We start from the raw sequence: 15600 nt of genomic DNA, 5'->3' as shown, positions 1-15600 counted from the left end.
GCAGTAACCACTGCTTGGCTCCTGCCTATGTTTGCTCAAGGCACTAGGGCTCTATAATCAGCAGGTGGTAAAGCCAGCCAGGCTTGTATCCTTCCCTTCAAGACAACTAGTTCCTCCTAGTCCTGGGCAGGTCTAGAGATGACGTCCAGGAGCCAGGGCCTGGAGTCAGAAATCTTAGGAATCTACCGGTACTCTATTCTACGGTGGGTGAGCTGGCACCCAAGTCACAAGACAAAGTCCTTCCCACTCTTCCTTCTCCTTTCCACAAGCAGAGGAGTCTCTCCCTGTGGCCACCACTGCCCCAGGCCTGCGACAAGTACTGTCTGGCTACTGCTGATGTTCATTCAAGGCCCAGGGGCTCTTCAATCAGCTTGTGGTGAATGCTGCCAGGCCTAGGAATCTATTTTGGGGCAGTGGGCCCACCTGTAAGCCAGGGAAGGTCCAGAAATACCATCTAAAGCCAAGCCCTGGAATCAGGAACCCCTAGAACCCCTTTGGTGCTTTACCCTGCTGTGGCTAAGCTGGTACCTAAGCTGATTTTTGGTTCTTATGAAGGTGCATGAAGGTGCTTTTTTGTGTGGAGAGTTGTTCAATTTGTTGTTCCTTTGGGAGGCTGCTATTTAGCCATATGGCTCCACCTCCCTCTCCATCCAAAAAGAAAACTTTAAATGAAAATATACATCCAAAGAAAGTGTTTTTGAAATAAAAAATAAATGGTCTTAATTCCAAGGAAAGAACCAACATAGTAAAGTAAAAATGCATTTTTTCCAAAAGTTACTTGTTTGATCACATATTGTATTTTATTTTAATGAAATATCTAGAATAGGTAAGTCCATAGAGAATACAAAACAGGTTAGTAGTTGCCAGGGAATGTGAGTGTGCAGAATGAGGAGTCATTGCTTAATGGCACTGTTTTCAAGAGTTACTTTTGAGTACACTTGCAGTCTGGTATCTAAATAATTGAAATATTTGAAAGTCGTGATTCCTAGAATAAAAACAGTGACTAACTTTTAATGATTTCAATGTCATGTGCACAAAAAAACCATGTCCAGAGTAATAAGTTTACCCATTCTACCATTCTTTTCAAAGAATTGCTTAAATAAGTTTTAAAAAATTTCCTATTGAGATGTTACTTAAAATACGATTTGTTTAGTTCTCAAGGTTATGCTTTCCCCAGGTTATGCTTCATTTGGGTAATCTAAGTTTAAGTCCTAATGTAAGACCTAGGGCATGGTACTTAACTTCCTGTAGACCTCAGTTTTCTTGACTGTGTGGTGGAAGAAATAATAGTACCTAGCTTGTGAGTTTGTTTTAAATGTTAAATGAGAGAACATGTGGAACATCTTACCCAGTGCCTGGCACATGGTGAGCAATCAATAAATGGGAGTTCATCCTGTCATCTTCAGATTTCTCTTCTGGAGCCAGCCAGGCTTGAGTTCTGACCTGGTTCATCCACTGAACTTGTAGGGGAAGCACTTAGTGCCCTTCGGTCCTCTCATCCAGTACATGGATATACAGTCTTCATGTGGTTGATACAAATACGAATGTGCTAATGCATCTTTACCAAAAAGAGAGGTAAAAGAAAGGAAGGATAATCCTGCCAGAGATACATATGCAAAGATCTGAAAGTAATCGAGAGTGAGGGGTTGCAGATTGGACAACACTTAGTAGTGGCTCCAGATAAGGTTCTTAAAGACTGGCCAGGATGCAGCCTTTTCATCCAGAGAAACAGCCATCTCATTCATAGACAGTGGTGACTGATTGGCAGATTTTATAAGATGACACAAACACCCTCCCCATTGTCCTGCCAAAATGTGGGGAAACTCTTCCTGGAAAAGTTATTTCTTTGAATTGAGCTTCCAAAAGGTTCCTATTAGAATTCAAATACTCTGTCTGGGTTGAATATCACATTGCATAATAGTTTCTCCAGATTAAGGCCATTTTTCCTAAATATTTAACAAAAAATTTTTCGCTTCTTATCAATGATGCTGGCGTTGGTTCAGTGCCTGCATAAGACTTCTTCCAGTGTATTTCTTTACCCTGGCAACCAGTTCCTTTTTCTTTGGGAGAATTTTTTTTTTAATTATAACACTATTGTAGGAACTCCTTTTTGGCACAGAAGGCATCTAAAGTAACTTTTAGAGATAGAGGCTTATGAAAAACAAGAAAGAGGCAAGACTCAGTTTTTGAAATCTAATTCCAGCCATGAAGCAAATGCCACAAAAGGGCACAGGAAGAAAATCTGTAAAGGGCTTATCTACCACCGTTGACCAAAGATTTATTCTGCTGTTAAGCAAATACCTTGTAAGCCAGATATTGTGCTAGGTATTCTGAATACAAAGATGCAGAAGCCTCATTCCCTGTTTTCTTTTTTTTTTTTTTTATTATACTTTAAGTTTTAGGGTACATGTGCACATTGTGCAGGTTAGTTACATATGTATACATGTGCCATGCTGGTGCACTGCACCCACTAACGCGTCATCTAGCATTAGGTATATCTCCCAATGCTATCCCTCCCCCCTCCCCCCACCCCACCACAGTCCCCAGAGTGTGATATTCCCCTTCCTGTGTCCATGTGATCTCATTGTTCAATTCCCACCTATGAGTGAGAATATGCGGTGTTTGGTTTTTTGTTCTTGCGATAGTTTACTGAGAATGATGGTTTCCAATTTCATCCATGTCCCTACAAAGGACATGAACTCATCATTTTTTATGGCTGCATAGTATTCCATGGTGTATATGTGCCACATTTTCTTAATCCAGTCTATCATTGTTGGACATTTGGGTTGGTTCCAAGTCTTTGCTATTGTGAATAATGCCGCAATAAACATACATGTGCATGTGTCTTTATAGCAGCATGATTTATAGTCATTTGGGTATATACCCAGTAATGGGATGGCTGGGTCAAATGGTATTTCTAGTTCTAGATCCCTGAGGAATCGCCACACTGACTTCCACAATGGTTGAACTAGTTTACAGTCCCACCAACAGTGTAAAAGTGTTCCTATTTCTCCACATCCTCTCCAGCACCTGTTGTTTCCTGACTTTTTAATGATTGCCATTCTAACTGGTGTGAGATGATATCTCATAGTGGTTTTGATTTGCATTTCTCTGATGAACAGACACTTCTCAAAAGAAGACATTTATGCAGCCAAAAAACACATGAAAAAATGCTCATCATCATTCCCTGTTTTCAAAGAAACTCACAGCATTATGGAGGCCCAGGTTTCTATTTGGGCCTCCATAATGCCTTGTGCTCTACCAAGAATGGTAAAACAATCCTTTCCAGTAGGAGTTCCTAGTTAGTGGCTTATAGTTAACCAAATGAAGAGAGGATGACCATATGGTGCTGATAAATTGAAAGAAATTAGGATGAACATCTAGAGATTTGCATGGCCAGACACCTAATTCAGATTGCAGAGCAGCAGGATGGGAGGCGTAGTCCTGATTTAACTCTTGATCAAAAAGAGGGGTAAAAGAAAAGAAAGATAATCCTGCCAGAAATGCGTGTGCAAAGATCTGAAAGTGATCAAGAGCAAGGGATTGCAGATTGGACAGCATGTTTTCTCATTTAATCCCAGAGGAACCCTGGGAGGATTCTAGGTGTGCATATTGTCCTTATTTTGTAGAAGAAGGTACTGAATCTTAAAGAGATAATGTGTTTTCAAAGCTTACAGAGTCCAAATCGATAGCTAAACAGTGTCTGTGGGATTTGAATCCCCCTGTGATGTTCACTGTGTGTTGCCATATACTGCAAATGTGTTATAAAATAATAATTATAATAAACAAAATTAACCTGAGATATTCCCAGATTGAATCAATCCAAGGAGACTGAACTTCTGAGTTTGTCTTGGAGTTAGTTGGGCTTTACTGCTACTTATGCTAGATCTTGAAGGCAGAGTAGGAAATATACTTAGCAGGGAAGTGGGAGAAAGGTGAGAGGTTCCCCAGGCAGGGGAAACAAAGTGAGCAGATTTGGGGCAAGGTGTGTGAGATTGTGTGGTTGGCAATATAGGGTGGGAAAAATTAGTTATCAAGGGCAAAGCTGAATAGCAGATTGAACCCAAATGGTAGAAGTTTTTATTTAACACACAAAAAAGGCTGAAATTGATCCTGTAAGGAATATGAAGCTATAGAAGGTTTTTCATCACAGGCTTTGACATTTTAAGGTTTGTATCTTTGAAAGATAATCCAAAGATAAGAGAAAAAAACCTTAGATGTGTAAAATAGAAGTCAGGAAAACTACACAAGCTATGTGTAAAGGGAGTCAAGGGGACAGGATCCAAAGGAAGACAAAAGCACAAACCAATTATTTTAAATCAAATACTAGTGCAGTAACATATATTTTTAAGTTTTAAAGCTGCTTTTCTCCATAGCTTATTGATTACTCTTTTAAAACTTATTTTTAATAGCAGATATTATTTATTGATTCCTTACCATTTTCTAGATACTTTGCTAAGGTTTTACATGTCTTTTTTAGTCCTCAGAAAATTCTCTTCTATCTCCATTTTATAGCTGAGGAAACTGAAGCCAGGGAAGGTTAAATAATTTGTTTGCAATCAAACAACTAGTGATTGGTGGAATTTGGATTTGCAACCAGGCAGTCTGACTCCAAAGGCCTCTTCTTAACTTGATCCTACATACCCTTCCTAAATAGTAGGCGTTTTTCTCAGAGCAGCTGTTTTACATTAGAGAAAACTTATTTGTAATCTGTGATCAAGGAGAAACTGCCTGAGTTGCCTGGATTATTTTGGCATTTTTAATATGTACAAGAAAAATGTTATCAAATAAATGTAAATTTAAAGGTCCTGATGAGAGTTTACTTTCTAATAAAACAATTTTCAACATTTCCCATTACATCAGAAACTAAATTATTATTAAAACACATCTTGTGTTCATTTATTTTTGACAGGCTGCTTTTCACATCTTTTTTTTTTTTTTTTTTTTTTTTTGAGCTGGAGTTTCACTCTTGTCGCCCAGGTTGGAGTCCAATGACACGATCTCGGCTCACTGCAACCTCCTCCTCCCAAGTTGAAGCAATTCTCCTGCCTCAGCCTCCCAAGTAGCTGGGATTACAGGTGCTCGCCACCACACCCAGCTAAGTTTTGTATTTTTTTAGTAGAGACGGGGTTTCACCATGTTTGCCAGGCTGGTCTCAAACTCCTGACCTCAGGTGATCCACCCGTCTCGGCCTCCCAAAGTGCTGGGATTATAGGCATGAGCCACCGCGCGCAGCCTCCAATCTTATTTTAATGAAAATCTCAATTTATCTCAGTGTTAGAAACTAGGGCTTCATTTGGCAATGTGGTCTTTCCAGTTGTTTCATCTCTTTCAAAAGTCTTTTAAGAATTATTGAAGTAAGTTAATTTTAAATTTTTGCTTTATCCCTTGAGATTGGTATATAGAGTTAGGAACTACTTGATTAAATACAGGAAGCTACTATAAATTTGAAATAAGAACTAAAGTTATAATGTGACCAGACTGGGTAAGCACTGATAACATTTGTATATATTTAAACAGAAAAAAAATAGTTAGAAGAATAATTTTTAAAAACACACACCAGATGTTGGTAAAGGCAAAGATATTTTTGCTCTTGACTTTGTCTATGAAAGTCAAGTGAATACTTTGAAAGAATTGATGATGGATAAGGCAAGTACATTGATTTCTCAAGGTGTGAATTGTTATCTTCAAACTTTGTGCTTCCATAATTGTTTTTTCTTTAATAATGAGACATCTAGACCATAACTGGCTATGTGATTCTGAATCTACCTTTACAACTTAATCTTTGTGATTCCCCTATATAAGATATCTAGAGTAGTCAAATTCATACGGACAGAAAGCCAAATGGTGCTTGTCAGGGGCTGGGAGAAGAGGAGAATAGGAAGTTACTATTAATGAGTACAGGGTTGTCGATTTGGAAGGATGAAAAAGTTCTGGAGATGGATGGAGATAATCGTTGTGCAACAGGGGGAATATACATTACACCACTGATCAGTATACTTAGAAAGGGTTAAAATGTCAATTTTACGTGATGTGTATTTTACCATAATAAAAAATACTTAATATTTACCTATGCTTAGAGAGAGTTGACATATAGTCATTTGATAAATAAAATTTGTAAATGCGTATGCTTAGATAAACATAGAAAATTGTTTTAAAGTAGAACTTATAGATTTCTAGCTTTAAAACTGTGGAGAAACAATCTTCCTATGCCATTTTTTTCTTTAAAAAGTCACTCAAACCAATAATTAGTACAAAAAACAGAAAGGTACATTTCATCTTTGAGGAAACTGGGAGATGTCTGTGACTCTAAGCCACAATACATAAAGATAGAAGTAGGAAGAGAAAAGGTCAATGACTTAACCAAATCAGAGAACAATACTAAAGTGAAGCAAACTGAGCTGCCCCAGTCGCCCAAAACATACTTTGGAAGATGGAAGAGTTCTAAATATAGCAGGTGTATGAACATGTATATTATATACACTTCTCCATAAGCCCTCACTCTTTTTCAGTGTAGTCAACATATTTTGCATCCCTCTCCATGGAAGACAGAGACTTTGGGATACTAAGCAAAGAGTAGGAGAAGGATGGCTGTATGTTTAACTTTATTTAGGACAATTAAATGAATGTCTGCAATGTGTCAGTAAGACCTTCAGCGTCCTTCTCCTACCCACACCAGAATGCTAGGAAGCATATTTATATCCTTCTCTAGAAAAATAGAGATACCCCAGAGGAAAAAATCTCTTACAAATAGTAACATTTGGAAGAGGCAAAAAAAATCCCCACTGGGCACTTGATGATACTGCAGTAAAACTCCCAGTACACAAGCCTCACCCATGCACTTAGAACTTACTGTCACCTTTCTAGGGTCTCATTCTTGTGTATGAATTGGGATCAGGAATCAATGCTGGAGTTTGAGGATATTACACTCATTGCTCTTTGTTTACATTATTTACATGTATTTCTTTAATAAAATTTAAATATTTAATTCAAAATAATGTTAAATTTGCAGAGATTCATTTAAGTTTAGAATAAAGAAGAACAAGAAATGTGAAAGAGGGACAAGAGGAGAGGCAGAATGCAAAGGAAATACAGCAGCACTTAGAAAATTTTAAATTAGATAGTTTTTCTTCTGAAATCCAGTATTGAATTAGTGCAAAATTCTGAAAGTCAATTACAAAATTCATTTTATGTCAACATTACTGACTCCATGCACAAATGTTTATTCTAGTTTTAAAAACTAGTATTCTGTACCTTTTAATAGCCAATGTAATTTGTTGACAAATATTGAAATTTATACGTTACCAGAGGTCTCACGTATTGTTACCTTTTAAAATGATCATTTATTAACCAGTATTGCCTAATGAGGCAATCAAAATGTCATCTGTTGCATAGGTAACAGGAAACTACCATTACTCATGTTGTGAGATGGTCAAAGACCTTATCATATTTTATGGCTAACAAACTCATGATGTTGTCATATATGCCCTCATCACAGTGTTTATGATACCTAAAAGTTAGTGCCTAAAAATTAGAAACAAGGACAGTGAAGTTAGATTGTTTAATCCTGCATATCTTAAAGATCTAACATTTTCTAGCTGTTAAATATGTTTATCATTATACTAGTAATGTACGTGCACCATTTTTATTATATTAATTCATTGCCACTGTACAACTAAAGAGGATGGATGAATTTTAAAAACTTCCAAAAACTTGGTAGCATTTTTTAATCTCTTTCTCTTCCTCTTTTCTTTCTGTCTTCCACACACACACACACACACAAACACACACATACACATACATACATGCACACATACACATCATGAAGAGCAAGCTTTGGAATGAAATATACCTGGGTCCAAAAATTTTGAACAAATTGTTGACTTTCTTTATGTATGAAATTATTATTATCACATCTACTTTGGAGGGATGTTGTGATGTATAATTAAGAAAGTATAGTCTACTTAGCATGTAGGTAATTAATAATTAGTAGTTATTATTATTATCCTAACCTGACAGTTTATGAAAGAGGTAGGAAATCTGAAGATAGGAAAGCCTTCAAAATATAATACTCCGGACTTCTCCTTTGGGAATTAAGAAATGTAGCTCCAAGCAAGGTTCATGCCAGTAGGAAAGTCCTTGAATCCAACTGTATTCCTAGTAAGTGTAATAAAATAAAAGAAACCTCTAGAAATTGCCTCAAAATTCCCCTCCAGATAAGGAAAATAACACAATATTTCTCAATAATGAGGAACTGCTACAGGAGTTCAGTGTCTTATTCTCATTAACGTTAGAGTACAATAGAGAATAGCAGGAAACTGTAAAAACTGCAGTCCCCTGGTCTTTTTTTCTAAAAAGTTAGTTTGACATATCTGGAGTACTGAATTTCAGCATATTTGAGAGGCCTGAATATTTAGTTGATATATAATATGGCTCTAAGAAATATGCTCATGATAGATTGGAAAGTATAGAATATCTATTGTAATCTGAAAATAGGAATTTAGAGAACAGAAGATTTGATAGTAGGCAGAGTATTTGAAAATAGTAATACTTGAGAAAACCTGAGTTGTATAGTAAAATTACTCCGTAACACCTCATTCAGTTGGCTTCATTTAATGTTTAATGTTTAATCCATGGATAAATGTCATAAGTCTCACAAGTCACGCTCACCATTGGATGATAAGAGAAAGGGAGATCACATTTTAGGTGCGCACAATCTACCTGTATGCAATTGACGCTTTCCATGTAAGTGTTGCCAAGTTGTATCGGGGCACCATTAGTGGTATGAGACAGACTTTAGGAGTTATTTTGGACTCCTTTTTTTCTATTAATATATCTTATATTTTGGGGGCAAATTATACCAGTATATTAAATCTATTTACAGAATAAATATAAAGTTACCTTTTATATTCAGTTTAAGTTTTTTTAAAAAGTGAGTCAATTAAGAAAAATATCAAATCATGGTATAGATGGAATGCTAATATGGAAAGAATTATGAAGGTGGTGTTATGACTGAAGTTTCAGAAACATCAAATGACATAGTCATTTGATTCAACAAAACATCTACAGATGGATGACCCAATGGATGTATACATCTATGGTACAGTCTATTGAAATGTGGTAACAACCAGAAAGTAAAAGGTCCATACATTATACAATTCAGTACAACAGGGAAATACTGAGAAATAATCGCAGCTTCTGGATCAAAAGCATGGGCCACATGGTTCCTAAATCCAGTCTCCCCATATTCAGGCCTCCTCATCAGCCTGCATGCCATCATATGCTTGCATGCTAACAGGAATTTCGAGGGAAATGCCATATCTTTTCCATTTGGGGAAGCTTTTCAGAGGGAAAACTACAGGATGCTTAGATAACAAAACATTCTTTCAGAAATGTTCATGTGAGAAATGGTCTTACAAGTGGATAAAACTCTGTAACATCAAATACATACTTTTTTTTTATTCTGTCACTACCTTAAATATTAGGAGTAGAAGCAAAACTTAAATTTAAATCTCAATGGTCTTACAACATAGCGCATCTTTCTTTCTCTGTAATGGCAACCTTGATGTACCAATCCAAAAACTTTGAGTATTCTGGTTAGTTCCATACATTGTCAGATTCCCCACTTAAGTTTGTTTTTGCCAGGGGAGAGGGACGATTTCTTAGTCATTATGGTACTATTATACAGTCTTTAGTAGATGCCCAATAAGTGTGTTAGGTTTTCAGAGAAAGATTCTTGGAAGATGTAGAATGTTGGGCAAGTAAGCAAGGAACAGCACATGGGGCTGCACTAAACTTGTGTGTGTGTGACAGAGAAGGGAGTAGCATCAGGCTAAATAAGCTCATTGTAACATGGATCTGGGGGACGGTAGAACACAGGCTAATTATTTCTGGAGAGTTGAAAACTCAACAGTCAGACATTACATTCTCTGATCATTGTCATTTGCTTTCTGAAATGGCAACTGGAAGCTATTTGGTAGACCTTACATGGAGGGAACAGTGTTTCAAATAAATAGTAGTTGCCTAATTTTACTTGGTTTGCTTTTGTTCTTTCTTTTCCCACATTTAAATTCCAATAAGAAAAAAATTAAACCTCTTCCTCTAAATCCCCTCTCCCCTAAAAATAATTAGTCTCACAAAACTTTTAAGTTTCCAAAAAAATACATGATTAATTAACCTGCTTTAAAATGCCAGCAATATACTAGACATGGGACAGTGCTAAGAAAGTGTGAATGTCCCCTGGCAGTCATAAGGAAACTGAAAAGCTTAAGGGGATAACTATGTGGAAAGCAATTTATTGGCATTTACCGTAAGAGGCCTGAGAGTCATTGAAAGAAGACTAAGTCACAAATGCACCTTGAAGTGTGACCAGGGGAGCAGATGAAGGGTTTGTTGTAAGAAGCAGCCAGAGCCTCTGGCGGATGCCGTACTACATTTTCCAAGTTGTTTGGGTGGGTCACAACTGCACTCCAACATCCTGTCTGCAAATGCTAAATAAACACCAAGTTCACGTCAGACTAGAGAACCAACGTACTAGCTAATGCCATTTAAGCAATCAGAATGCTTACATTATTTTCACTTGGTAATTCACATCCAAAATAATTGAAGTTGGCACACCCAGAGGAGTATATATCCTCTGTGTAGATGTTCAGAGAGATAGGCAGGCTGGTCAACTGTTCCTTCTGTTGGGAGCAATTGGAATCAGCTTAGATTATATCTACTGTAATAGAAAATATTTTATATTTAGGAGGTGGGAAAGGTTTTGGCCTTCGAAATAATAAGAGATATTGACAAGATATAAAGCTTCATTCCTTACTGAAGAGCTGTTAAGGATTAGCAAACCCAAGTCTTTGTGTGTAGAGATGAATGAAATTTGCATTTTTTTTAAAAAAAAATAAGGTTTAGAAAACATTGTGCAAGGGAACAGCCTTAATACGTGCAGCCACTTGTCCAGGAATAATACATTCAATTTTTCAGTTTAAAATTCCAGTATGTTCTGATCCAAGGGTGCCTGTTACACTCTGCTGAATTTTTAAGAGGTAATTTACATCTCTACAACCAACTCCAAAGCATGACATTTCATTACATCCGCTCAAAATGAACAGCTGCTAAGTCATCAAGTTCTCTCAACTTTGCTTCTAAAGAGAAAAGTTTAGTTTTAGTGCTTCAGTGAAATACTTTTTTGAAAGAATGACTTTTATAAAATTCATTTGTTTATTATGGTAAATAAACAACTTAATGGCAAGGGGTGTGTTCCTTGTAAAGGTGATCACGGAATGTTACCCAGAATAACACAGACATCTCATTTCCCAGAGAAGGAAATGGTTTTATAAGTTTTGTGAGGTCTCTTGTCTGCTTGGCCGGTTTACAGTGCTGGTCTCTGGAGCTGATCCGCCCCTTTGCTTTGTAAGTCTCAGCAATTGACGAGGCTAGGCTGGGCGCTGGGCTTTTCTTTTTTTTTTTTTTTTTTTTTCCTTTCTCACTGCCCTGCGGTGTTTTGAACTGCCTTCTTACAGACGTCATACAGCCCTTGAGGAATAGTTTCTGCCTGGTGAGATTGAATGATAGTTCTCATTCACAAAACCCTGGATTCTAAGCAGGGACACACAGAAATTACTTTCGCAGGTAAATCAGCCCACCCAGCCAAAGTGTGGAGAGATTTGTTCCTTGGCTGACTTCTTTGCTCCACGGAGAGGAGTGTTTTCCTGTGCTTGCCCTGAAATGGAACTTCCTTGACAGCTCTCCCGTGTTACAGTACCTCCCGGTCATTTTCTTTTTCTCTCTCTCTACCTGCGCTCTTCGAGTGTCAGAAACCTTTAAAGCTGTTACTATGGAATTGCAAAAAAGAGATCAAGTGACTCTTTCACTATGCTGGTTTCCCTTGTGACCCAGATGAAGAATCAATTCAGAATTCAGTTCCTCCCTTGGCATTGCAAGACACAGAAGAAACTGTCACTTCCTAACAGCCTAGTACTGGAGTAAATTCAGTATGAAGGAAGAAAGCGCTCCTGCGTGTTAGAACCTTGCCCATGAGCTGGACCGAGGACAGGAGATGGACTCCAGGAAAATTGGATTTCTTCAAGCAGCCTCCCTTGGAAATGGAATATCTTTAAAATCTTCTTTGCAGAAAGACAGTTAGAATGTATTAATCAGAATAGTTGAAGACTTATTTTCCTTTTTATTTTTTTTCAAAATGAGCATTATTATGAAGCCAAGATCCCGATCTACAAGTTCCCTAAGGACTGCAGAGGCAGTTTGGTAACGTTCTTTTCTCTCATGCTTTTCCCCTTTTCTCTTTTAAGATTGACGTACTCCTTGAGTATTTAGTAAGTTGTGTGATGTCGAGGCTTTGTGAAAGAAGGCAGTATTGGCGGCTCTTTTATTCTTTATTTTGTTCCCAAACTCATGTGCTTTAACCAAATGGGTGCTGATTTTTTTTTTAATTCCTCTTGGACTGTAACAATTTATCTGATGATAATTTTTAAAGGAGGAAAGAAACTTGCAGATATGTTGGGAGTTTTGAAAATGAAAACTTGTCATTTTTCAGTGTTTGATTCAGTTGCTTGTTTTCTTATCTTCTTTGCTTGCTGCAAGCAGGCTGGTGGTTGACAGGCTTTGCCCTTGTCTTTAAAAGCAATACCCTCACTTTTAGCACAGATGTGTTAGAAATTAATAATGTTATTTATATTTAATCATACACATGAAACAAACTTGAATTTAACTATGTGGCTAAATGTATATCAAGTTGCTTATCATTCATTCATCTCTTATGTTTTATTTTATTAGAAATGATTCCTAGTAATTATATTTTTGGTTATTTTAATGCTTTTACTCTGATGAAAAAATATGTCAGTTTCAATGTATTCTAATGTTCTATTATTTCCCCAATGGTGATTTGATATGCTAATCAGCATATGGCATGGCCCTTAAGGAGTATTTTCCAACAAAGTAACTTTTTTTTCTACAATAGGTATTTACAAAATACTTTTATGGCTATTTTAGGGGTTAGTCTTATTTTGTTTTTCTTAGTGATTGATTATAAATAACTAAGCTCACCTCTTTGAAATGGAAATAATCATACCTCACACTGGGGAAATAAAAGCAATGATTGAAGTGAGGTGGTTGAGAATGGGAGGAAAACAGGCCAGCAAAATATGCATTATCATGTGAGCAGGCAAACACACATGTAAATACTCAAATTATTTGCGTCAGGAATTTAGCTTGTGTTTTTGTGGATAGGTTAGCCTTTGCTGTTATTGTAGTGTTTTACAGTCAACCAGAAACAAGAATTGCCCCATCCGCAGTATTTCTGTGAGTTTTAATAAATTATAGATGAAGATTTTGTCTCTTAACGTTACTTGCCATTTCTTACAAAATAACACGTGCAATAAATTATTCCTTGAGTTTATTTAAAGAAAAGATTGCATCTGCAAACAAATTTGGAGAGTCCTGTCCTTTTTTTCCTCAAACAATAAATACTGGAAAATCCTTAAAATCCTTGTATGAATTACCATAGCTAATATAAATCACCAACATGAGTAAACAGAATTTATAATATACATGAATTTAACTCATTTATAATTTATACCATTCCTATGTGAAAAGATGTTACTACTTTAAAAATAGTGTTTAACCAAACTATTTCTCTTTTTGTCTAAACTGCCAGGAGATGTATTTTCAAATTCAGGTTTCAATTGGAAATAATTTGTTCATTTCAGGAGATGAGTAACATTGACACCCTTTACCTCTCTGAGATTATCATAGTCTATTTTTATCCACAATTATTATATTTTTTGTTTTAAATTGTATGGGATATTTTCATAAGTCAAGCCACAATTTAAAATGCATTTTTAAATATTTTGATTTGTTAATGTGTGTATTTTTCCATTTAACTAAAAATATTCTCCATAGACTTGGGGATAGAATGATTTCTGTGTAAGAAATAAATCTCTCTCTATATATGCATGATTCTTAGATTTAACTACACACTATAGAAACCTCTCCAGTTATTAATCTTACATCTGACTTAATAATATAACCGCTTGGGTATATCACTGCAGCTGCCAAAAAATTTGGCCTGAGGGTATAATCAGCTGTAGTAACAGTTTTGCCATTTTATTATCCGTCTATCAGTCAAATATTAGACACATCTATTATATTTATTTATTTAATTACATGTATAAAATCAATATAGATTATAGATTTGGTATATAGAGAAAATATATGTTTGTGTGTATATATATGTATACACATACATACACACACACATGTTTACTTGAGCATTAAAAAAACCCAAACGGCCTCTCTTCTTGTGCCTCTGCACATAAAGGCCACAGGCCTCAAATTGCTCAGAGGGACAATGTTTTCTCACCAGTGTTGCTGTCTGCATTTCTCCACCACCACCCTACCCTCATTCCTTTTCAGTTGACTTCCCATGAGAGAGACCTAAAACTTTGCCATTTATCTCTTTTTCAGATGTTTATTTGTTTCCAGGTTGATCTCCAAAATACTTTGTTCTTGGGACACATCTTTCTGGCTTTACCATCTTCACTCTGATTACATAAATCTATTTTGTGTTCCATTGGTCTACTTTCTCCAAATCTGTCTACTGTCCTCCGGGATTCCCTAAAGCCAAACATTACGTTTGGAAGTTTGTTGTATTGTGCAAGAATCCAATGTTTTGGATTACTTCTTTACCTTTTTCTATTTGTTTCTCTCCAAGTATCATAAAAAGCAGTCCACACTAACTTGTCCTTACAGCCTTAATTAAATTGCTATGAGATATTCACATTTTAAATGGGATTTCATGGCAAACTTGTATTTTATACCCTTCCTCTTATTAAAGGTCAGCCTGTTATAATTAAAATTTTATTAATTTCAAGACAAAATACAAATAACCTTAAAATTAATCTATTTGTCTCTTTGTAACATAGGTGTCCAAATTTAGGGTTTATTTAATAAAGGTGTATACTAGGTTGCTTTTATTTAAGGAACAGTTATTTATATGCCACGTTCTAGCAGAAAGTGATTATAGTATTTATTCTTAAGCATTATTTTAAAAAAATGTGCCTGCATGAAATTGAGAAAAACTTTATATATTTTCTTATGCTCATAAAGCTAATAAAATTAGCAGATTCATTGATTGCAGAATTGTTTGCCTTTCTTGCATATCTTAAATTCAGATTTAGTCAGTTGTTATATACTATGAAAATATTACCTTACATATTCCTTGATATCTCTTTAACACTTTTATAAACATTTATAAACATTTCCCAGGGATACTTCTCATTAATGTAATTAAGACTTGTGATTTAGTTTAAGTAAGTAAAACATTATTAGTCTTACAAATATAAATATAAAGAGAAGTTTAGTCAATGGAAGTGGACTTTTTTCTTTCCTGCTGACAGAACAGTGTTTAGGATTTATGTGTTACATGTAAGATCATTCATTATGTAATCTGAAAATAAAAGAGATGCTACTGTTCAAAATATGACTGTGGTTGTTTTTAAAGCAAATTTTAAAATTGGTTATTGTATATGTAATAGTACTTATACTTTTCATTATAAGTATTATTATGTAATAAGTATACATGTAATACTT

General features: G+C 35.8%; 1 protein-coding gene across 29 annotated transcripts in view; it reads left to right on the top strand.

Moving 5' to 3' along the window:
- Positions 1–15600, top strand: part of PDE4D (phosphodiesterase 4D) — a 1553091-nt gene that overhangs the window by 1234533 nt on the left and 302958 nt on the right. The window contains exon 1 of one of the 29 annotated variants that reach the window (NM_001197220.2): positions 11481–12258. The exons of the other annotated variants lie outside the window; for them this stretch is intronic. Within the exon in view, the coding sequence (NP_001184149.1) occupies positions 12194–12258 (65 nt within the window). The 5' untranslated portion in view covers positions 11481–12193. Of the gene's footprint in view, positions 1–11480; positions 12259–15600 lie in introns of those variants that run through there. 29 annotated transcript variants of the gene reach the window in all.

Source organism: Homo sapiens, chromosome 5, assembly GCF_000001405.40.
Source record: "Homo sapiens chromosome 5, GRCh38.p14 Primary Assembly".
NCBI classification, from domain to species: domain Eukaryota; kingdom Metazoa; phylum Chordata; class Mammalia; order Primates; family Hominidae; genus Homo; species Homo sapiens.
Note: the sequence above shows the minus strand (reverse complement) of the source record. Positions and strands in the feature narration are given on the sequence as shown.